Source organism: Homo sapiens, chromosome 9 (assembly GCF_000001405.40).
Source record: "Homo sapiens chromosome 9, GRCh38.p14 Primary Assembly".
NCBI classification, from domain to species: Eukaryota; Metazoa; Chordata; class Mammalia; order Primates; family Hominidae; genus Homo; species Homo sapiens.
This window is the reverse complement of record NC_000009.12, coordinates 136,729,636-136,752,293: the sequence shown is the minus strand read 5'-3', so window position 1 is coordinate 136,752,293 and position 22,658 is coordinate 136,729,636. Positions and strand designations below refer to the sequence as shown.

At 58.1% G+C, this 22,658-nt stretch overlaps 2 protein-coding genes, 1 long non-coding RNA gene and 1 other non-coding gene across 10 annotated transcripts, besides 3 other annotated features; 3 read left to right on the top strand and 1 right to left on the bottom strand.

The window, feature by feature from the left end:
• Nucleotides 1-2,382: 2,382 nt before the first annotated feature.
• On the bottom strand, nucleotides 2,383-6,133 carry LOC100128593 (uncharacterized). Its single transcript, NR_033913.1, has 3 exons — nucleotides 6,093-6,133; nucleotides 3,722-5,216; nucleotides 2,383-3,548 (listed from the first exon to the last, which is right to left on the bottom strand). It is a non-coding gene; the product is annotated as an uncharacterized LOC100128593 (long non-coding RNA).
• On the top strand, nucleotides 3,769-8,277 carry LCN6 (lipocalin 6). The gene is made up of 7 exons (NM_198946.3): nucleotides 3,769-3,900; nucleotides 4,731-4,870; nucleotides 6,380-6,450; nucleotides 7,014-7,124; nucleotides 7,553-7,654; nucleotides 7,930-7,955; nucleotides 8,152-8,277. The coding sequence occupies exons 1-5, from the start codon at nucleotides 3,811-3,813 to the stop codon at nucleotides 7,630-7,632; spliced, it is 492 nt and encodes a 163-aa protein (NP_945184.1). The 5' UTR covers nucleotides 3,769-3,810; the 3' UTR covers nucleotides 7,633-7,654; nucleotides 7,930-7,955; nucleotides 8,152-8,277.
• On the top strand, nucleotides 5,324-5,401 carry MIR6722 (microRNA 6722). Its single transcript, NR_106780.1, has one exon. It is a non-coding gene; the product is annotated as a microRNA 6722 (primary transcript).
• A 1,076-nt stretch (nucleotides 8,278-9,353) lies between the features above and the next one.
• On the top strand, nucleotides 9,354-14,124 carry LCN10 (lipocalin 10). 7 transcript variants are annotated; one of them, NM_001001712.3, is made up of 6 exons: nucleotides 9,354-9,507; nucleotides 10,274-10,413; nucleotides 10,933-11,042; nucleotides 11,351-11,458; nucleotides 12,246-12,344; nucleotides 12,741-14,124. In NM_001001712.3, exons 1-6 carry the CDS (start codon nucleotides 9,391-9,393, stop codon nucleotides 12,767-12,769), a joined length of 603 nt encoding a protein of 200 aa, NP_001001712.2. In that variant the 5' UTR covers nucleotides 9,354-9,390; the 3' UTR covers nucleotides 12,770-14,124. The 7 variants fall into 7 exon arrangements, 3 of the variants coding, with proteins under 3 accessions (NP_001001712.2, NP_001355018.1, NP_001355019.1); NR_160515.1 differs by lacking the exon at nucleotides 10,933-11,042; NR_160516.1 differs by lacking the exon at nucleotides 10,933-11,042 and having other exon boundaries at nucleotides 10,274-10,638.
• Nucleotides 9,850-9,949: a silencer, noted in NCBI's record as "silent region_20539". NCBI's record gives its function as "represses an Ori minimal core promoter by ATAC-STARR-seq in GM12878 lymphoblastoid cells {active_cell/tissue: GM12878}" and the evidence as "EXISTENCE:reporter gene assay evidence [ECO:0000049][PMID:35858748]".
• Nucleotides 16,534-17,033: an enhancer, noted in NCBI's record as "H3K4me1 hESC enhancer chr9:139629713-139630212 (GRCh37/hg19 assembly coordinates)". NCBI's record gives its function as "activates a minimal SCP1, AML or CMV promoter by ChIP-STARR-seq in naive H9 embryonic stem cells {active_cell/tissue: H9 hESC(naive)}" and the evidence as "EXISTENCE:reporter gene assay evidence [ECO:0000049][PMID:30033119]".
• Nucleotides 18,858-19,702: an enhancer, noted in NCBI's record as "H3K4me1 hESC enhancer chr9:139627044-139627888 (GRCh37/hg19 assembly coordinates)". NCBI's record gives its function as "activates a minimal SCP1, AML or CMV promoter by ChIP-STARR-seq in primed H9 embryonic stem cells {active_cell/tissue: H9 hESC(primed)}" and the evidence as "EXISTENCE:reporter gene assay evidence [ECO:0000049][PMID:30033119]".

Sequence of the window (22,658 nt, the reverse complement as noted above, 5' to 3'; positions counted from 1 at the left end):
GCTGAGGCGGGAAGATCACTTGAGGTCAGAAGTTTGAGACCAGCTTAGGCAACATAGTGAGACTTTGTCTCTCTTTAAGAACAAACAAAAAAGACAGGGCATGATATAGTTTGGCTCTGTGTCCCCACCCAAATCTCATGTGGCATTATTGCAATGCCCAATGTTGGAGGTAGGGCTTGGTTGGAGGTGATTGGATCATGGAGGCAGATTTCCCCTTGCTGGTCTTGTGACAGTGAGTGAGTTCTCAGGAGATCTGGTTGTTTAAAAGTGTGTAGCACTTGCCCTTTCATTCTCTCTCCTGCTGGCCATGTAAAGATGTACCTGCTTCCCCTTCACCTTCAGCTATGATTGAAAGTTTCCTGAGGCCTCCACAGCTGTGATTCCTGTAAAGCCTGTGGAACCATGAGTCAAGTAAACTTCTTTTCTTCATAAATTACCCAGTCTCAGGTAGTTCTTCATAGCAATGTGAGAATGGACTAATACAGGGCATAAACAGGGGGACACAATGGCTGTCTTCTCATGACAAATGGAAACCAGGAGATGACAATAGGCCATCTTTACATTGATGAAAAAAAAATCAACGCAGAGCTCTTTATCTAGGACAAATATCCTTCAAAACTGAGGGTCAAATAAACATACTTTTCAACAAATGGAAGTTGAGGGAATTTATCTCTAGCACAGCTTCAGTACAATAAATAAATGCCAAGGATGTTCCTTAGGCAGAGGGAAATGACTCTGGATGGCCACTCAGGTCTGCAGGAAGAAGATCCGTGTGACAAGTGGGGACCAAGTGAGCCCACTGGAACCTGCATTCCTTGCCCTCCATTTGGTTACTTAATTATATCAGCATGGACTCAGCAGTTCCTGTTTTCTTCCATAGGTTACAATTTATGACAATCATTTCTACCCAATGGGAGTGCCTTCAAAGTGGCTTCAGAGTGTTGTTGGTACATTCCCTGATTCCTTGAGCACATTTTTGCTTTTTGGCACAAAAAACATTCCAAGTTCCTCTTGCATTTTCTGTACACAGGTTTGAATAATTCACCAGAGTCCTGGTTCCTTTTCATATAGAATGGTGTGTGGAGAAACCAAGCTCTGAGTGTTGGGTGTGCTTTTACTTTTACTGGGTCCGATTGTATCTAAACCTTCTCAACACACAGAGCCTGGACTTTCCTTCCTCCTCTTCCTCCCTCCTTCTTCTTCCCCTCTCCTGCCTCCCTCTCTCTCTCTCCTTCTTCCCTTCCCCTCCCATTTCTCCCTCCCTCTCTCCCTCCTTCCTCTCCTCCCTGCCCTCCCTCCCTCCCTTCCCTCCTTCCTCCCCTCCTCCCTCTCTCCTTCCCTCCCTGCCTCTCCCCATGTGTCTACCAAAATTGGAGTTCACATGGATATTTCCAATTCTAATCAGACGCCACAGGGTTCACTTTGATCTCTCCCCTTTCTATATGTCTATATTTATAATTCTCTTTTCCAACACAGAGAAACCCATTATCCTTGATATATTTACTCATTTGGTCCCTTCTAGAGCACACGGAAAGTAGTATCAGAATTGCTCACCCAAACCACTGTTAGTCATGAACCTGCCCATGAGAGCTTAGGATGTGTTTACAGCTCTTTCTGCTGTTAGCTTGAGAATACAGAGAAAAACTACTGTGTTCAGAAGTTACCAGGGGCAGTCCTTTCCCCTTCAGTGTGGCTGTCATTTATCTATAATGCAACTATATCCCATGTTTGGAATTTGTTTATTTTACTTTTGAGTATAACAGTATAACATACCAAATTACTTTGATTCCAAAGTCAAAACTATACAAAAACGTTTACTCAAAAAAGTCTAACTTCATCCCCCCACCCTGTTCCAGCTCCCCACCCCAGCAGGGAACTAGTCTCATTAGACTCTGAGGTTTATCCTTTGTTTTTGTTTGTTTGTTTGTTTGTGTGTTTGTTTGTTTTTTGAGACGGAGTCTTACTCACTCTGTCACCCAGGCTGGAGTGCAGTGGCGCAATCTCGGCTCACTGCAACCTCTGCCTCCCGGGTTCAAGCGATTCTCCTGCCTCCGCCTCCCGAGTAGCTGGGATTACAGGCTTGCGCCACCACCACGCCCGGCTAATTTTTGTACTTTTACTAGAGATGGGGTTTCACTAAGTTGGCCAGGCTGGTCTCGAACTCCTGACCTCAGGTGATCTGCCCGCCTCGGCCTCCCAAAGTGCTGGGATTATAGGCATGAGCCACCACACCCGGCTGATGTAGCGTGCTGTTTTGTGGCTGCCTCGAGAACCAGGCTCCCCGCAGCCCTTAGGGACACTAGTGGGGCTGGCAGGTGTTTCCTTCTCAGAGGCCTGGCCCAGCTGCTCGGCTTCCTCCTTTTTGTATTTTTATTTTATTTTAGAGATGGGGTCTTGCTCCATCACCCAGGCTGGAGAGGAGTGGCACGATCACAGCTCACTGCAGCCTCAACCTCCTGGGCTCAAGCAATCCTCCTACCTCAGCTTCCTGAGTAGCTGGGACTACAGGAGCACGCCACCATGTCCAGCTAATTTTTAAACTTGCTTGTAGAGACGAAGTCTTGCTATGTCGCCCAGGCTGGTCTCAAACTCCTGGACTCAAGTGATCCTCCCGCCTCAGCCTCCTGAAGTGCTGGGATTACCGCGAGCAGCCACGGCTCCCTCCTGAAGGCTCCAGGCCTAAGTGTCCCGCTCCCTTGTTCTGTGGCTCAGCCCCTGGGCAACTCCTGCTTGCCATGGCTGTGGCTGGCACCTCCGTGGCCCCACTGCCCGGTCAGTCTTCGCAGGCCCAGCCCCCAGTAGCTGTGTGGTTTCTGCCTTCCTCCTGCACTCTGGTGGTCACAGGCCCTGCTGCGTGGGTACAGGGCAGGTGGCCAGGGCTGCAGCATAAGCTCTGTGAGTGCAGGCGGCCCTGGGCACTGGAGCCTTGTTGCATGGACGTGCTCCTTGCACCCTTGTTGATGAATGAGCGAAGGTGTGTGGGAGTGAATCCCAGAGGGTGCAGGCCACGGCACTGGGGGAGGACCCTCCCGGCTGCCTCCCAGTGGGCTTCAGGGGCTCAGATAGACCCTGCCGAGCACCTCTGTCCTCTGCTCCCGGACTGGGGCTGCAGAGAGCTCTCAAGGGGCCTTGGGAGGCACAAGCAGGCCAGGGTCCCAGGGAGGGGAGGCAGGAGGCAGCAGGGCCGGATGGTGGGCTGCAGAGGTGGAAGGAACAGGACAGTCTGTTCTGGGGGTGCTGGCTGTGGGGGACAGAGGCCAGGCCACAAAGCAGAATGGTGGGTGGGCCAGGAGGAGGTGGGAGCCTTTTTCAAAAGGCTTTCAGGGACTTTTTATATTTAATGATTGAAACAAAAGATATCCAAAACCGCAGTTCCTGAGAACCACTTGTTCTCGCCCTGGTTCCTCTCCTTGGGCTTGACCTTGGCCTCCTGCCGGGCCTGGCAGCGGACAGCAGTCTCCCTGCTTCCCAGGCTGGGCGAGGGAGAGCGTGGGTCCCCAGGAACGGGGGAGGTGGTGCGGCTGGCTTTAGGATGCCCATTCTGGAACCTTCTGGTGGAAGAAAGCAGGGGATCAGTATAGTATGGTTGATCCACACACTCCAGACCCTCTCCTGGCTGTGCAGCTGGTCTGATCTGGGCTCAGAGGCTGCCACTGCTCAGTGCTCCCCTGGGTAATTTTGCAGGAGGCCAGGAGGGTTCCTGGCAGTTAGTGCCACCCACACGGAGAAATTCAGAGCCATATAAACGGGTCTCCAGGGCCTGGAGGGACTGCACATCCTGGGCCTGCGGCGCAGTGTAGACCTGGGAGGATGGGCGGCCTGCTGCTGGCTGCTTTTCTGGCTTTGGTCTCGGTGCCCAGGGCCCAGGCCGTGTGGTTGGGAAGACTGGACCCTGAGCAGGTACAGTCCTCCTGGGGGTGGGGAGAGCTGGTCCTCGGGGGCCAGCCCCTCCTTTAAGGCCACACAGCTTCTGGGCCCCCCAGGGCTAGCCCAGACCAGCATGAGCAGTGGGGAATTAGTTGGGCCAGCCCTTGGGGAGTCCCACAGGCAGGAGCCTCAGGGCAGGAGGGGTGGATGCTGGAGGGTTGGAGGCTGGAGGGCTGGAGAATTGGAGGCTGGAGACTGGAGGTTGCAGGGCTGGAGGGTGTAGGGTTGGAGAACTGGAGGCTGGAGGGCTGGAGGCTGTAGGGCTGGAGAACTGGAGGCTGGAGGCTGCTGGGCTGGAGGCTGGAGGGCTGTAGAACTGGAGGCTGGAGGGCTGGAGGCTGGAGGGCTGCAGAACTGGAGGCTGGAGGGCTGGAGAGCTGGAGACTAGAGGCTGCAGGGCTGCAGGCTGGAGGTTGGAAGGCTGGAGGGCTGGAGCCTAGAGGCTGTAGGGCTGGAAGGCTGGAGGCTGGAGGGTTGGAGGTCTGGGGGGTTGGAAGCTGGAGGCTGGAGGGCTGGAGAACTGAAGGCTAGAGGCTGCAAGGCTGGAAGGTTGGAGGCTGGAGGGCGGGAGGGTTGGAGACTGGAGGCTGGAGGGCTGGATGGTTGGAGGGTGGAGGCTGGAGGCTGCAGGGCTGGAAGGCTGGAGGCTGGAGGGTTGGAGGCTGGAGGCTGGAGGGCTGGATGGTTGGAGGGTGGAGGCTGAGGCTGGAGGTTTGGAGGCTGGAGGCTGAGGCTGGAGGGTTGGAGGCTGGAGGCTGGAGGCTGGAGGGCTGGCGGCCCTAACGGGAGCCGCCTCAATGCAGCTTCTTGGGCCCTGGTACGTGCTTGCGGTGGCCTCCCGGGAAAAGGGCTTTGCCATGGAGAAGGACATGAAGAACGTCGTGGGGGTGGTGGTGACCCTCACTCCAGAAAACAACCTGCGGACGCTGTCCTCTCAGCACGGGTGAGTGGGCGGGTCCTGCCAGGCCTTCCCGCAGGCAGGACTGTGGCTCAGCCACATCATGTACTTTGCACATCTGCTCCCGGGCACCGCGGCCTGGGGGCTTCCCACGGCCCCTCTGCACCCCCGTCACTTTTCCCACTGGGCTCTGTGCAGAGCCACCAGCCCTCTGCCCAGCTACTCACATCTGTGTCCCTGGGGCCTCCAGGTGGCACTCCCACCTTCAATACCGCGGCGGGCACTGCTCTGACTATGCTCCTTCATGCATCCCTGTCCTGGGTCATCTGGGCTGCAGGCTGTGGTCAGAGCTGGGGAAGCCTGTCCTCTCAGCAGGCCTTTTTCGGGAATTCTGTTTAAAGGAGGATAATGCATTCGGACCTAAGAACCACTGGTTCTTTCATAACATAAATCCCCAAACAATATGGTCATGGACGCTGTTGGCCAGACTGGCCTTGTGGCCTCAGGCAGGCGCACCCGACCACATGCATGGCTGGTGGCGGCGTGCAGGGGTCGGGTGGGCCAGGCTGTGGGGCGGCCGTGCTACACAGGGGACACCTACAGGGCAGCCGGGCTGTGGGGGTAGCCGTGCTGGGGCAGGAGTCGGTGCCCGCCTCCCTTCACAGAAGAGTGGCCTGCTGGGTGGCGTGGTGGGTGTCTACCCCCTGGCAGGCTGGCGACAGAGCCCAGGCCTGAACCACTGAGCCAGGTACGGGGCCCAGAGAGAAGAACCTGCCCTCCTCACCAGCGTGCCTTCCCCCTGCACCTGCGCCTGCAGGGTATGGGCAGGGGCCCCACTGCACCCCCCGGGCCAGGCCTGGCCTCAGGGCGAGCTGGGACCAAGGGGCTCCAGGCTGAGGTGGCAGCTCCCACGTGGCTTTCCTAGTTCTTCTTGCTGTTCCTCCCGCATGGACTCAGCCTCAGTTTCCTTCCTTGGCAAACACCATTGCACCTTTGCTGGGTTTTGCTCACTCTGGGGACTGACCACTTAGGGAGCGCCGGCCCCTTCCCCCGAGTCGCAGGCAAACCCCCACCCCGCCCCATCCTTCCCCTGAGTCGCAGGCGAACCCCCACCCCACCCCATCCTTCCCCTGAGTCACGGGCGAACCCCCACCCCGCCCCATCCTTCCCCTGAGTTGCGGGCGAACCCCCACCCCGCCCCATCCTTCCCCTGAGTCACGGGCGAACCCCCACCCCACCCCATCTTTCCCCCGAGTCGCGGGCGAACCTCCCGTCTGTCGAGTCTCCTGTTGTGTCCTCAGCAGCATTCAGCGTTCCTGGTGGAGATCTGGCACTGAGGATCTCTCAGGAAGTGAATGGGAGTGTCCGCCCCTCTCAGGACTCCCACGCCGTCCACTCTCCGAGAACAGGTTTCCGGGCATCGGGGCATCTGGCAGAAGATGGAAGCTCTGGCCTCACTGCTGGCTGGCCTGGCCTGGACTCCTGAGCTCCGTCTCCTCTCACCGGGCCCCGGGGTCTTGACCCTGAGTGGGTGACAGGCCCCTTCTTTTCCAGGCTGGGAGGGTGTGACCAGAGTGTCATGGACCTGATAAAGCGAAACTCCGGATGGGTGTTTGAGAATCCCTGTGAGTCTGACGGCCACGGCCTCACCCAGGCCGTTCTTCCCTGCAGCATCCCCAGGCCCCCTGCGGGCAGGGACGGAGGGCTGACTCCGCTCCCGAGAGCCAGGAGGCTACAGGTTCTGGTCTTGGGATTGCTGCCCATCCTGAGGGTGAAGAGAAGCCCCTGGACAGAGGATTGGAACCTTGTTCCCAGCAGGCTCAGACACCAGTGAGGTCCAGCCAAGGTCCCCATAGGTGCAGAGGGCGAGGGGCCTGTTTAGTGGCTGTCTACAGGTACAGGGCTGGGCTGGTGTGACCCAGCCGCTCCTCGTTCACACCTGGGACAGGCTGGGGCAGTGCTTGTCTGTCTGTCCGTCAGTGTCTGAAAGCCCCTTGATGCTGGCACCAGGTGGGGTCGGGGGTGGGGGACAAAGCTTGGGGGCTCTGGGTGTGCTTGGAGGGGTCTCCTGGGGAGGGGGGCTCTCACTTGAATTGGCCCCTCTGTCCCTGTGGCCAGCATCAGCTCAGCGGCCCCTGGATGGATACAGCAGCTGCCCTCCCCTGAGGCGGGGGGTTTTGTTTCCTAGCAATAGGCGTGCTGGAGCTCTGGGTGCTGGCCACCAACTTCAGAGACTATGCCATCATCTTCACTCAGCTGGAGTTCGGGGACGAGCCCTTCAACACCGTGGAGCTGTACAGTAAGTGTGCTGTGCGGGGCCCACGTAGGGAGCTGTGTGGTGCGTGGGCCACTCGGGGCCCACGTTGGGAGCTGTGTGGTGCGTGGGCCGCTTGGGGGCCGCGTGGGGAGCTGTGTGGTGAGTGGGCCGCTCGGGGGCCATGTGGGGAGCTGTGTGGTGAGTGGGCCGCTTGGGGCCACATGGGGAGCTGTGTGGTGAGTGGGCCGCTCGGGGGCCATGTGGGGAGCTGTGTGGTGGGTGGGCCGCACAGGACCACATGCAGGCCAAGTTCCCCCACCTTGAGGCTCGCTGCACTGGAGGTGGCTTTGGAAGGACCGGGGCCAGCATCCCAGGGCAGGTGGCCTCCTTCCTGACCCTTCCCAGCCCCTCCCCGGCCCCTCCCCAGCTCTCAGAGGTTGCTTCCCCCTGCACTGCCCTGGTGCCCCCAGGTCTGACGGAGACAGCCAGCCAGGAGGCCATGGGGCTCTTCACCAAGTGGAGCAGGAGCCTGGGCTTCCTGTCACAGTAGCAGGCCCAGCTGCAGAAGGACCGTGAGTGTCCACCGGAGCAGCCTCGGGGGAGGCTTGGGGCAAGTTCTGGAGCCCACAGGGCGTGATGGGGTGACAGAGACCCTGGGGTTGATTCTGGCTTCTGCCTGACTCAGTCGCCCTGAAGGAGTCAGGCAGGCTGAGGGGGTCTTCACCTGCCCCTGCCCAAAGTCAGGCCTGGGGGTCTTGTCCCCACGGCAGGCGAGTCTTGTGGGTGGGGCCCTGGGGTGCTGGGGGGCTCAGTCCTTTTTCACAGCCAGTCTTGCCTCCCCTTCTAGTCACCTGTGCTCACAAGATCCTTCTGGTAAGCCGCCATCCTGAGCCTCACCCTGGGCTCTCTTGGGGGAAGGGGGTGGGGGAGGCCACCCTACGCACAGTGGGTGGGAGGACCCTCTGCCCAAGCCCACGGGGTTCATGGCTCCACTGTCTCTAAGGCAGCTGAGGGTGTGGAGGAGCCTCCATGGTGGGCTGGGCCCCCTCACACTCCTCTTGGTTTTCAGTGAGTGCTGCGTCCCCAGTAGGGATGGCGCCCACAGGGTCCTGTGACCTCGGCCAGTGTCCACCCACCTCGCTCAGCGGCTCCCGGGGCCCAGCACCAGCTCAGAATAAAGCGATTCCACAGCAAACCAAGGATGCTTTTGACTGGGGGCCAGCCGGGGAATTGCGGGGAGGATGGCGGGGGTCGTCACCAAGGGCCAAGCCACAGAACCATAGAGCCAGCTGCAAAGAAGACGCGTGCCCAACCCAGTCCCTTGCCAGAGCCCCTCTGGGTCTTCAGACACCCAAACTCAGGCCCGGGCTCAGAGGCGGGGGCTGGTCAGAGGACACAGCCTGGGAGGAAGCCAGCAGTGAGCTCCACCAGGACCGCAGCTGGGGTGCCAGAGGCTCCAAGGACTGCCCAGGACAAGAGAGAGGTGGCTGGTGGGGCTCAGAGCAGCCCCTGACTCCCCAGGCTCAGGCTTCTCTGGGCTGGGGTTGTGTCTCTTGCCTGGGCAGGGGCAGGGACCCCAGACACCTGAGCCTGCAGGTCCTCCTGTGTTCTGATGGGTGTGGGGGGCTGCGCTGCCTGCCGTCCTGGGAGAAGCACAGGCCATGGGGGTCTCGGGGCTGGATGGGGGGCTGGGGACTGTGTGAGGCTCATGCTGGAGTGAGGCGAGGTGCACACAGATGCCTTGACCTGCAAGGCTGGGCATGCACACGCATGCACATGTGAGCACACACCCACACATGCACACACACACATTCATGGGCACGGGCACACAGCCCCGGCCCGCCCTTCGGCACCTGCTCAGGTGCTTGGTGCCAGGCCCTCAAGAAGGTGGTGGGGGCTGTGTGTGTGGCTGCCGCGCAGAGCTCACCATGTCCACATCTGCCCCAGAAGGGCCACGACCAGCCCTTTGCCTGTCACCTGGGAGGTCTAGGATGAGGGCCAGGGCTTAATGAGTCTCAGGGGCACACACAGTGACCCCAGGCCGGGCACTGAGGGCAGGAGGGTCCTGGGGCCTCAGAGGGGCCTCTGTCTGCCAGGGCAGCCCAGGCCAGCAGTGACCACCAGGTGGGGCAGTGCCGGCTTCCCTGGAGTGTCTGGGGGTGGTCCCTGGGCGGGGAGAGGGTAGCAGAGCCCAAGGCCACACCTGTTGCCTCCCTCCGCTCCCTCCCCTCCCTCCTCTCCCGACACAGGCTGGCGGCTCCAGAGAGGTTTAAACACTGGCCTTGGCGGCTGAGGGAGGAGGGTGAAGATGAGGCAGGGGCTGCTGGTGCTGGCGCTGGTGCTGGTGCTGGTGCTAGTGCTGGCTGCAGGGTCCCAGGTGCAGGAGTGGTACCCCAGGGAGTCCCACGCCCTCAACTGGAACAAGGTGAGCCATGTGCCACTGGTCCCTGAGCCGGGCGCCGGCTCTGGAGCTGGAGCAGGCTCCTGCACAGTCTCCCGGCAGCCGCCCAGGAGCAGGGCTACCAGCAGTTCCAGGCACGGGCGCTGCCCACCTGGCCTCTCCCACTGCAGCCTCCAGCACAGGGGCCCCGCAAGTTGCAGGGCAAAGGCAGGGAGCCTCGAGGGGGTTCGGGGGCCCAGGGGGGTCAGGGAGGGCCAGGGTGGAGGGGCCCAGAGAGCTGTGGCCGAGGAGGTCGGGAGACGCCCAGAGTGCAGAGTGGGTGTGGAGCAAGCGGGGCATATTCTGTAGCGGGAGGGCCCGGGCACCTGCTGAGTGAGCCGTGGGAGCAGCACTCATTGGCACGGCGGTGCCCAGGGCGCTAGGGTTGGCAGCAGGCAGAGTTGGGGGCCGGGGGCCGGCAGGAAGGGAAGTGGCCGAGCAGTACCCAGCCCCCAGGAGGCCATGTGGGAAGGAGCCGGGGCCTCTGAGGTAGGGGGCCTCCCACCTGCTGGCGCCCACAGCCCAGCCCTTTGCTGCCTGGGGTCCCTGACCAGCCGGGCACCTGCTTCTCTGCAGCCCTGCTCCAGTGGCCAGGGCTTGAGTGGCCGGGACCGAGGCGGCACCTGGGCGGAGCTGGGACTCCGGCTCACAGAAGGGTCATTTGTCTCCTGGGTTCTCTAGCTGGGAACCTCGGGGGTGGGGACAGCCCCCGGTGGCAGCTCCTGTCCCCGCCCACACATCCGCTGCGCAGTTTTCAGGGTTCTGGTACATTCTGGCCACTGCCACTGATGCCCAGGGATTCTTGCCGGCCAGGGACAAGAGGAAGCTGGGGGCGTCCGTGGTAAAGGTGAACAAAGTGGGCCAGCTCCGCGTGCTCCTCGCCTTCAGACGGTGAGTGGGCAGCGCCCCCCAGGCAAGGGTCTCCCCTTCCAGGAGGAGGGAGCTGCCTCGGGGCTGGAAAGGAGTCTGGGAGGAGCCTGTCTGTCTGGAAGTTCCACAAGAACCGTCCCCCCACTTCCTCCCCCTAAACTCAGAGGAAGCCACCTGCAGCCCCTGGGACCCCACATGGGTGGGTGTTGGGAGGAAGCTGCCTGCAGACCTTGGGACCCCACATGGGTAGGTGTTGGGAGGAAGCCGCTTGCAGCTCCTGGGCCCCACACGGGTGGGTGTTGGGAGTTTCTCTCGTGCCGTGGGACAGGCCCCAGTCCGAATTGGAAAATCCTCAAACCACAGAGCCTCAGATTGACACGAGTTGGATAGTGAAGCAAAAAACTGGGGACCTGGGGCCCCAACCTTCCCGGGTCCCACGGGAGCAGGGGCGGGACCGAGACGTGTGGGTGGGGCTCGGTGGCTGGCAGGCGGGAGGAGGGGTTCCCTGGTCTGCAGCCTGAGCCCCCGCCTTGGCCCCAGGTTGAAGGGGTGCCAGTCCCAGGAGGTGATCCTGAGGAAAGACGGGAAGAAGCCGGTGTTTGGGAACGCCTGTGCATACGCGGCGGGCCCGAGGGAAGGACAGGAGGGAGGTGTGCTTGGGCTCTGGGCCCTGGAGGAGCTGCGTGATATGCCTCTGACCCCCCTGTGCCTTGAGCAGGCCCCTTGTCCCCGAGAGCACGTGGCAGGCAGGCGTCAGGCTGGCTGTGTTCCCAGAGCCCACACGTCATGTGCTGGGCGGCCTGGCCCGGGAGGGGAGGCCCCGGGAGGGCACTCAGTCCCTCTGGACACCTGCACCTGGGTGGGGGCTCTGAGGCCTCGGGCACCAGGGGTCAGGGCTGTGGGCGGGCACAGCCACGCCATCCGGGAACCAGCGGGCATCTCTGGGCATCTCTTTCAGTGAAAGGGGTGAAGGCCTTCCACGTGCTGTCCACTGACTACAGCTACGGCTTGGTCTACCTCCGCCTGGGGCGTGCAACCCAAAACTACAAGAACCTGCTGCTCTTCCGTGAGCAGGCACAGCGGATGGCAGAGGATGGTGGAGGGGGTGCAGAGGGAGGCATAGAGGGGCGCTGGGCACAGGGGGCCGGGCAGGAGGTGAGGCGGGCAGGGAGAGTGGGGGTTGGGGCGGTGGTCAGGGCAGGGGCAATGGAAGCCGAGACCACAGCAGTCAGGTCCTGGAGGTCGCTGAAGCAAGGATAGGGGACGTCAGGAAGAGGCTGCAGAGAAAGGTGGGCCATCCAGGGGGAGCGGAGGCCACCAGGATGGTGGCGGGTGCAGGTGCAACGTTCTGGGTGAGGGACACAGTGGGGATGAGGAGGCGTGGGAGGGGTCCCAGGTAAGGGTCTGCCCGGGATGGAGGGGTGTGGAAGTGACCCAGTGTGGGTTAAGGGCCACAAACCCAATTCTAGACACCAACCACTTGGGGTACACGGAAAGGAGTGGCCCTCCCGGTTGGAACGGGTAGAGGGGAGGTGGGGTCCTGGGGTCTCAGTCGAGGCAGGGCACGCTCAGGGTGCAGCAAGCTGGGGCACAGCTGAGGGGCTGGCTGGAGGGGACTCTGCAGGCAGAGAGGGTTCCCCAGGTGACAGCGTGGTGACCCTGGCTTCCCGAGCCTGGCTGCCTCGTAAGTGGGGAGGGGCCCAGCGGCCGCTGTCCTCCCCTGGCCAACCCCTGCTTCACGCCTAAGCTCTGAGGACATTTCAGCAGCTCCTGGGGTAGGGATGGGGGTCAGGGTGCAGACCCTAAAATGGCCAGAGCTGGAGTCTCTGATGTGATCCTGATCTCAACCTCAGATAGGCAGAATGTTTCGAGCTTCCAGAGTCTGAAGGAATTCATGGACGCTTGTGACATTCTGGGGCTCTCCAAGGCCGCCGTCATCCTCCCGAAAGACGGTAAGCTGTGCCCTCAGCCCTTTGCCCTCCTGGCCCTACCTGCCCGTCCCATTGGGGAGCTGATTCATTGGGGGAAGGAGAGATGAAAGGATCCATTTGAAAGGTGCCATTTGAAAGATCCGCCCAAACGTGCCTCCCACCTCCTGCCGCCCCTGAGAATCGGGGCTTGGCCTGGCAGGCCTGGCACCGACAGCGAGAGGCGTCCGGAGCAGATGCTGCATCCGACCAGGCGATGCCGTGGCTGTGGCTGCAGGATCGGGGGCTGCATGGCTGTGTTCTCGTGGTGCCCAAGACGAGCACGCATGGAACCAGGGAGCGGCCGGGGGAGACGTGTTCACGGCTCATGTGTCTCCTCCAAGCAGCCAGCCCACATGTGGCTGTTTTCCTCTCCCACAGCGTCCCGTACACACACCATCCTGCCATGAGAGCCAGCGTCCTCTGCTCTTCCCTTTCGACGCGTGGTCCTCCCAGACCCGAGGAGCGTTGTTCCAGATGTCAAGTGGAGACCACGGCTTGTTGAGAGGTGTTTGGTGACTCTAGGTCATTGACAGTGTGAAAATCAAGTGGCTCAAGGGATCCTTTATGATCACAGAAAGATGGGGGAAGGAGGATACAGGCTGACCGGGTGGCGAGATGTCAGCCAGGCCCCTTCCCCACTGTCTTCTGGAGCACACTGCAGGCTGCTGCTATTCCCTGTCTGCTGTGAAACAGACCACAGGCCGGCCCAACGCAGTCCTCGCCGTGTGCCTTGCCTCTGCCCTCCACGCCGCCGCCACCCTCCGCGTTCCTTTACATCCTGCACTTTCTCAGGAAGCCGTTCGCATATCCACCCAACATGGAGGAGCCCCCATGACGTGCCAGGCAGCGTGCTGGCCCCTGCGGCTGCGTTAGGGAACAGAATCGGCAAACGCAGTCCCAGAGTTGATGCCTGATCAGGAGAAGCCAACTTCAGCAGTGTGGTCACCTGGATACTCGAGTATAGACCCTAGATCACCTGGATACTCGAGTATAGACCCTAGAAGTGTATCTAGGCGCGGCCAGGGCCCCACAACAGCAGGTCTGACTCATTCCATCCAGGGCAGCATCAGGGAGAGCTTCCTGGGGGAAGTGGCATTTGGGCTGACCTGGGAAGGGTGGTGGGTGTTAAGTCAGTTTGGGTGGGGCTGGAGGAGCAGGGGTGCATCCCCAGAACAGGATGTGACTTCTGAAAAGACATCAGAGTAGAGAAAATGGTTTCTCAAGGAGATTGGGGACGCCAGTATCAGAATGGCGGCGGGGAGAGCCACAGAGGAGCAGGAGGGGGCCCACCAGACCACGGCACCTCGAAGGCTGCGGTGAAGGCTTAGGTCTCACTCAAGGGGTGATGACGGGAGGTTGTCTGAGATGAACCCCCCAACTGAATGAATGGACCTTCTTCTGGCCAAGGGGATCCCAAAGAAACCCTGAACCCGAGTCCTCAGCCATGACGGGGTAAGGGGTCAGCCCCTCCTTCTGGCCCGAGAAGAGATCAGAGATTGGTTCTGGGCAGTCCATGGAGAATTTGCTCAGCTGGACCAGTACACGCTTCTCCTTTCATGAATATTCATGACTCCTCCTGAAGCTTATTGAACATCTCTATTTGGCCATCTCCTTCAGCGTAAATTCCTGTCCCCTCTGTCCCTCCCCTCCAAGTGTCTGTTCCAGGCTTCTGGCCTGAGGCTACGCTTCCTAGCCTGTCAGAAGGGCTGCCCTGCTGGCTGCAATCTCTTATGAGAAATAAAGCTCTCCTGTGTGCAAAAAAGTAGTTTGGAGCCCGGGCAACATGTTGAGACTTCATCTCTACAAAAAATACAAAAATTAGCTGAGCGTGGTGGTGGGCGCCTGTAGTCCTAGCTACTCAGGAGGCTAAGGTGGGAGGATTGCTTGAGCCTGGGAGGTTGAGTGAGTCAGGATCGTGCCACTGCACTCCAGCCCGGGCAACAGAGTGAGACTGTCTCAAAAAACATATATATATGCCAGGCATGGTGGCTCACACCTGTAATCCCAGCACTTTGGGAGGCTGAAACGGGCGGATCATGAGGTCAAGCAATCGAGACCATCCTGGCCAATATGGTGAAACCCCGTCTCTGTTAAAAAATACAAAAAATTAGCCAAACGTGGTGGTACACGCCTGTAATCCCAACTATTCAGGAGGCTGAGGCAGAAGAATTGCTTGAACCCAGGAGGCGGAGGTTGCAGTGAGCTGAGATCACACCATTGCACTCCAGCCTGGTGACAGAGCGAGACTCTGTCTCAAAAAAAATTATATATATATATATGAGATATATATATAATATATAATATAATATAATATAATATTATATATATATAGTATATATTATGACATATATATAAAAGGCTGGGCGCCTGTAATCCCAGCACTTTGGGGGGCTGAACCAGGTGAATCACTTGAGTTCAGGGGTTCGAGACCAGCCTGACCAACATAGAGAAAAACTGTCTCTACTAAAAATACAAAGTTAGCCATGCGTGGTGGCACATGCCTATAATCCCAGCTACTCGGGAGGCTGAGGCAGGAGAGTAGCTTGAACCCGGGAGGCGGAGGTTGTGGTGAGCCGAGATCATGCCATTGCACTCCAGCCTGGGCAACGAGAGTGAAATTCCATCTCAAAAAAAAAAAAAAAAAAATACAGCCGGGCATGGTGGCTCACACCTGTAATCCCAGCACTTTGGGAGGCCGAGATGGGTGTATCACGAGGTCAGGATTTCAAGACCAGCCTGGCCAAGATGCTGAAACCCTGTCTCTACTAAAAAAAACAAAAATCAGCCAGGTGCGGTGGCGGGTGCCTGTAATCCCAGCTACTCGGGAGGCTAAGGCAGGAGAATCGCTTGAACCCAGGCAGCAGAGGCTGCAGTGAACCGAGATCGCTCCACTGCACTCCACTGGGCGACAGAGCAAGACTCTAGCTCAAAAAAAAAAAAAAAATACAGGCTGGGTGTGGTGGCTCACGCCTGTAATCCCAGCACTTTGGGAGGCCCAGGCGGGCGGATCACGAGGTCACAAGTTTGAGACCAGCCTGGCCAACATGGTGAAACCCCGTCTCTACTTAAAATACAAAAATTAGCCAGGCATAGTGGCAGGTACCTGTAATCCCAGCTACTCGGGAGGCTGAGGCAGGAGAATCACTTGAACCTGGGAGGTCGAGGTTGCAGTGAGCTGAAATCATGCCACTGCACTCCAGCCTGGGTAACAGAGCAAGGCTCTGTCTCAAAAAAAAAAAAAAAGAAAGAAAGAAAGAAAGAAACTCCAGGATTTAGATGTAGCAGGTGTGGTGCACGCACTCGTGGTGACCGCTCCTCAGGAGGCTGAGGTGGGAGGATGGCTGGAGCCCAGGGGGTCAAGGCTGCTGTGAGCCGATTGCACCACTGCACTCCAGCCTGGGTGAGAGAGGAGACCCTGTCTCAAAAAACATTAAAGAGTGGCAGAGACGTGACTACTTCTTCCAGAATCCCAGGCCAAGGCACAGTCATGGAGAGGTGGGCCCAGGCTCCCCGGCCCCCCTTCGATGTCTCTGCTCCCTCACGCAGGCTGGCTGCAGAGGCAGGACACGAGCTGAGCAGGAGCCCCAAACTGCTGTCCGGCCTTGAGAACCCCGAGTGTGGGCCTCTGAACCACCCATTCACCAGGGTGAGGGCAATGGCTCTGTCCCGGGGGCTCGGGCTCTGCGCCCCCCTTCCCTGGGCCTGGCTCTGTCCCGGGGGCTCGGGCTCTGCGCCCCCCTTCCCTGGGCCCAGGGAAGCAGCCATTTCCACAACTCAATCCTGTCAGTGGGGAGGAGAAGAAGGAAGAAGGGAAGGAGCTGGGAGAATGGGGAGAGGGGAGCACTTGGGGTCCCACGGGCAGGGAGGGAGGGGCAGCAGGAGGGGTTAGACGCGTACACACCACCCGTGCCAGTGCACCTCCCTCCGCAGCGTGCCACCTGGTGGGTCAGAATTGCTGACGGTTCTGTGGGTACCACCCTCCACCCTCCACAGGGCCCGTGCGGTCTATGATGCCCTTTCATCACACACAGCCCTGTGGGTTAGGCCCACTCTGTGGCCCTGGAGTGAGCCTCAGAGACACCATAGCCTCAGCTGCTTCCCAGACAACACCATTTCCCTGACCCCCATTTCAGAGGCAGTGGCATGGCCAGGGTTCTCTCTGGAGGAAGATGAGAACAAGAATCCAGGGGAGGCCGGGCACAGTGGCTCACGCCTGTAATCCCAGCACTTTGGAAGGGAGGCACAGGTAGGTGTATCACCTGAGGTCAGGAGTTTGAGACCAGCCTGGCCAACATGGTGAAACCTCCTCTCTACTAAAAATACAAAAGTTAGCCGGGCGTGGTGGTGCATGCCTGTAATCTCAGCTACTTGGGACGCTGAGGCAGGAGAATCGCTTGAACCCAGGAGGTGGAGGCTATAGTGAGCAGAGATCGTGCCACTGCACTCCAGCCTGGGTGACAGAGAGAGACTCTGTCTCAAAAAAACCAAAAAAAAAATCTGGGGGAGCCCATAGGTGTGTCTGCTACAGATGAACCCCCGGTGAGCCCACAGCCTGTGGACATCCTTGCTGGCTGGCAGCAGAGACAGCTGCGGCCGGGCCGATGGGGCTGGCCAGTGCTCCTGGACACCCCCCACCTCCCGAGGGCCCTGTGCAGTTCTGTCCTGGAGTTACAATGGTCACTTCACTGGGCCTCTGAGGTCCAGGTTGGGGACGAAAGGCAGCAGGGAGTGGCCTGAGGCTCTTGCGAGAGCCCCACAGTTTTGGTCAGAGTCTGCAATTCCCAAAGGTTCTGGCATGGGGCTGGGCACCTGTGTGGCCCCATGGAAGGTGTTTAAAGACCCAGAGTCACCAATTGGGGCTGACGGCTTTTTCACTGCACATGGCTGAGTCATCTTTCTGCTTTCTGTTAAGCAAAAGCCCTAACAGTTTCAAAGAACTGGGTAAGTGTCGGCGGCAAGCCATCTAGGTGCCGATGCAAGAGACTGAGGGCACGAGCTGTTCCAGTTTAATAAAATATATCAAACAACAAGAGTCATACTAGATCTAGATCATAGACATATTATATATGAATATCATTAATCATTAGTTTATAGCAATTACTCTTTATTCCAATATTATAATAATCCTCACTCTATAATCACAACCTAGGAAAAACCAGGCCATACAGAGATAGGAGCTGAGGGGACATAGTGAGGAGTGACCAGAAGACAAGAGTGCGAGCCTTCTGTTACACCCTGACAGGGCCACCAGAAGGCTCCTTGGTCTAGCGGTGATGCCAGCGTCTGGGAAGACACCTGTTGCCAAGCGGACCATGATCTAGCGGTAGCATCAGTGTCAAGGAAAAACACCTGCTACTTAGCAGACAGGGAAAGGGAGTCTCCCTTTCCCCGGGCGAGTTTAGAGAAGACTCTGCTCCTCCACCTCCTGTGGAGGACCTGACATCAGTCAGACCCGCCCGTGGTTATCCAGAGGCCTAACCGTCTCCCTGTGATGCTGTGCTTCAGTGGTCACGCTCCTTGTCTGCCTTCATGTTCCATCCTGTACACCTGGCTCTGCCTTCTAGATAGCAGTAGTCAATTAGTGAAAGTACTAAAAGTCTCTGATATGCAGAAATAATGGCGTAAGCTGTCTCTCTCTCTGTCTCCTCTCCCTCTCTCTGCCTCGGCTGCCAAGCAGGGAAGGGCCCCGTCCAGTGGACACATGACCCACGTGACATTACCTATCATTGGAGATGGCTCACACTCTTTACCCTGCCCCTTTATCTTGTATCCAATAGATATCAGCGCAGCCTGGCATTCGGGCCACTACCGGTCTCCGCGTCTTGGTGGTAGTGATCCCCCGGGCCCAGCTGTCTTTTCTTTTATCTGTCTCGCGTCTTTATTTCTACAATTTCTCGTCTGCACACACGAGGAGGAAAACCCACCGACCCTGTGGGGCTGGACCCTACAGATAGGAAGGGCCAACCTCCAGCTGACGAAAACCAGGTGGACCGTGGGGTCAGGCTGAGTGTGTCTGCAGCCCCAGATCAGGCCTGCACTGTGAACGGCCACCAGCTGTGGGAGGTCCTGGCACGCCCCAGCCCTGCAAACTGGGGATATCAGAAGCTCATTCTCAGTTCTAGAGGCTCCAAGTCCAGACCCAGGTGTTGCAGGGTCACGCTCCTCCGAAGGCACTGAAGGAGGCTCTTTCCTGTCTCTTCCAGCCGCGGGCGGTGCTGGTAGGTCTGGGTGTTCTGGGGCTGGGGCTGCACCTCTGCCATCACTGCCCCCGCCCTCCGGAGGCCTTGTCTGCTGTGGCCAGCCCCCCTCTTCTCAGCAGTCGTTGGATCTAGGACCTTATTTTGTCTTTCGATTTGTTTTTTTGAGACAGGGTCTCACTCTGTCGCCCAGGCTGGAGGGCTGTGGCACAATCATGGCTCACTCCAGCCTCGACCTCCTGGGCTCAATCGATCCTCCTACCTCAGCCTCCCGAGTAGCTGGGATGAGTGTGCAGCACGACACCCAGCTAATTTGTTTTTATTTTTTGTAGAGCCAGGGTCTTTCTATGTTGCCTGGGCTGGTCTCGAACTCCTGGGCTCAAGCTATCCTCCCAGCTTGATTTCCCAAAGTGCTGGGGTTACAGGTGTGAGCAGCTGCACCCGGACACACTATTCCACACACGGTCATGCTCACAGGTTCAGGTGGAATGACAGTGTTCAGCCCTGCACAGTCACCTTCCCCCGATCTGCCCCCACCAGGGTCAGACTTCCCCAGCACTCTCCCCTTCCCCATGGGGGCCTGATCCCTGTTCATGCCCAAAACGTCCTGGGGTGCCTGGCTTCACACACTCTGCAGCCCCAGCAGCACTCGCCAGCAGCCCTGCAGGGCTCCACTGGGTACTCTGACTTGTACTTACCCTTCCACCTCTGTCACGTGACCTGGGGCAGGGGCGTGACACCTCCACCTTCCCACTCCCACACCCACCGCCCACTTCACAGCCCTCTGCATTTGGACTTCGTGTAGGGGCCAGGAGCCCCTGCATTTTCTCCAGGAATGTCTTCCAGCCTCAGGGCCAGCTTCGCCCAGGCCTTGACCTGAAGGATGTTCACACGGCTCCTTCAAAGCCCTCCTCATCAGCGCCAATCAACAAAGCAATTCCAGAATGTCCCAACCCTCAGGGGTGTGGCGGGGGGTGGGGGGGAGAGCTTGGGGGGGATGCAAACCCTTGGTAATGACCTTGGTGTGAACCTGTGTCCACAAGGCAGCCAAAGCAGGGAGGGGAAGGCGTCCACGTTTAGTTGATTTGTTGTTTTATCCAGAATGGTGATCCGTGAAGTCTGGAAGAAATTCTGAGTCGTCACAGAGTGTGGGTGTTCTGAGACTGCGGGCTGTCTGTTGCTGTCACTTTTGTTTTGTTTGTTTTGGTTTTTTTTTTTTTTTTTTTTTTGAGAGGGAGTCTCAGTCTGCCGCCCAGGCTGGAGTGCATGCAGTGGCACAATATCTGCTCACTGCAACCTCTGCCTCCCAGGTTCAAGTGATTCTCCTGCCTCAGCCTCCTGAGTAGCTGGGATTATAGGTGCGCACCATCATGCCCAGCTGATTTTTGCATTTTTAGTAGAGATGGGGTTTCCCCATGTTGGCCAGGCTGGTCTCGAACTCCTGACCTCAGGTGATCCACCCGCCTCAGCCTCCCAAAGTACTGGGATTACAGGCGTGAGCCACTGCGCCAGGCCTCTTTGGTTGGGTTTTTAAATTTTTTTAAAATTTTTTTGAGACGGTGTCTCACTCTGTTGCCCAGGCCAGAGTGCAGTGGCACAATCTCAGCTCGCTGCAAACTCCGCCTCCTGGGTTCAAGTGATTCTCCCACCTCAGCCTCCTGTGTAGCTTGGATTATAGGCACCCACTATCATGCCTGGCTAATTTTTGTATTTTTGTAAAGATGGGGTTTCACTACATTGACCAAGCTGGTCTTGAACCCCTGACCTCAGGTGATCCACCCACCTTGGCCTCCCAAAGTTCTGGGGTTACAGGCGTGAGCCACCGCGCCTGGTGGGCTTCTATTTTGTTTTGAATGGTAAGTTCTGTGGTTTGAATGTGTCCTCTCCAAAATTCAGATGTTGCCAGTGTGAACATATCAAGAGGTGGGGCCTTTGAAGAGGCGATTAGGCCATGAGGTCTCCTCCCGTGTGAATGGGATGAAGGCCCTTCTGAAGCAGCATCCTGCTAGGCTGCTCTGCTGCTACGGGACAGAGCAAGAAGGCCCTTACCAGACGCCAGACACTCACCTTGTTCCCAGACCTCCCAGCCTCCAGAACTGTTCTGTTCTTTATAATTTACCCAGTCCCAGGTATTTTGTTATAGCAGCACAAATAAACTAAGGCAGTAAATAAATAATTTCCTTAAATTTTTTATTGCAGTAAAATATACAGAACATAAAATTCACCGTTTTAACCTTTTTTTTTTTTTTAGACAGGTTCTGTCTCTGTTATCCAGGCTGGAGTGCAGTGACACAATCACAGGTCACTGCAGCCCCCAACTCCTGGGCTCAAAGGATCCTCCCACCTCAGCCACCTGAGTAGCTAGGATTACAGACTATGCCTGGCTAATTTTGTCCAGCTAATTTTCACCGTGTTGCCCAGGCTGGTCTGGAACTCCTGGCCTCAAGCAATCTGCCCACCTTGACCTCTCAAAGGACTGGGATTACAGGCGTGAGCCACCACACCCGGCCTGGCCTTAACCTTTTTTTTTTGAGACAAAGTCTCGCTCTGTTCCCCAGGCTGGAGTGCAATGGCTGGATCTCGGCTCACCACAACCTCTGCCTCCCGGGTTCAAGCGATTCTCCTGCCTCAGCTCCCAGGTAGCAGGATTACGGGCATGCACCACCACGCTCGGCGAATTTTGTATTTTTAGTAGAGATGGCGTTTCTCCATGTTGGTCAGGATGGTCTCAAACTCCCGACCTCAGGTGATACGCCCAACTTCGGCCTCCCAAAGTGCTGGGATTACAGACATGAGCCACTGCGCCCGGCCTGCCCTAACCATTTTTAAGTGCACACTCCAGTGGCATTAAGTACATTCACATTGTCGTGCGACCATCACCCCCATCATCTTCTCCAGAATTTTTTTTTTTGTTTTTTTGAGACGCTCTGTCGCCCAGGCTGGAGTGCAAAGGCTCGATCTTGGCTCACTGCAAACTCCGCCTCCCGGGTTCACGCCATTCTCCCACCTCAGCCTCCCAAGTAGCTGGGATTACAGGGTTGCGTCACTATGCCCGGCTAATTTTTGTATTTTTAGTAGAGACAGGGTTTCACCATGTTGGCCAGGATGGTCATGAACTCCTGACCTCAGGTGATCCGCCCGCCTCAGCCTCCCAAAGTGTTGGCCTTACAGGCGTGAGCCACCGCACCTAGCCTGGGCTGACCTGCACAGAAGTGCCATCTACCTACCCTCTGACCTCTGTCATGTGACCTGGGGCAGGGGATGTGACATCTCCACCTTCTAAGTACCCCACTGTCATGGGGTAGCTCCTCTCTCAGGTGCTGGGGCTCAGGTCCTCTCCTGGGTCTCAGCAGGTCATGGTCTGCTCCGGGGCTATGCATACTGGTTTCAGTAAGTGCTTGGTAGATCTACCCCGCAGCATGGAGCAAGTGCTGGGTCGGGTGCAATGGACTCAGTATCTCTGAAGGAGGAGATGTCTCTTGCCCTCTCTCCACAGCTAGAGCTTTCACTAGCTACAGAGCTACAGCCAACTCCTGCACCAGCTCAGAAGGTAGAGCCAGCTCCGGCTACAACTCGGGTGCTAGTTCCAGGATCAGAGCCAGCTCCAGCAACAGCTCCAGCAGCACACCCAGAGACAGGGGCAGCTCTGGTCACTTCTGTGCCGGCTCCACTATAGCTCCAGCATCCGCCCTCTAGCCAGGACCAGTTCCAAAACCATTTGCATGGTTAGGGCCAAATATCAGCATCAGGTTCAGAAAAAGAGCCAGGGCCAGCATCAGCTACAGGCCCAGCTTCAGCACCGCGGCTCACACCAGTGCGGGTTCCTGTACCAGCTCAAGAACTATGGCCACAGCCAGCACAACTCCAGATCTCACTCCAGCTGCCGCACCAGCTCTACCACCTACTCCAGAAACAGAGGCAGCTCTATCACCAAATCTGGTGCCACCTCCGGTGACTGCTCGGGCACCGGCTCCAAAACCACTTCCAGAGTTTCAGCCAGTTCCAGGTGTAGACCTCAAGCCAGTGCCAGGTTCAGAGGAAGGGCCAGCTGCAGCACCACCTCCAGAGCCAGAGCTGGCACCAGATATAAAGCGATGGC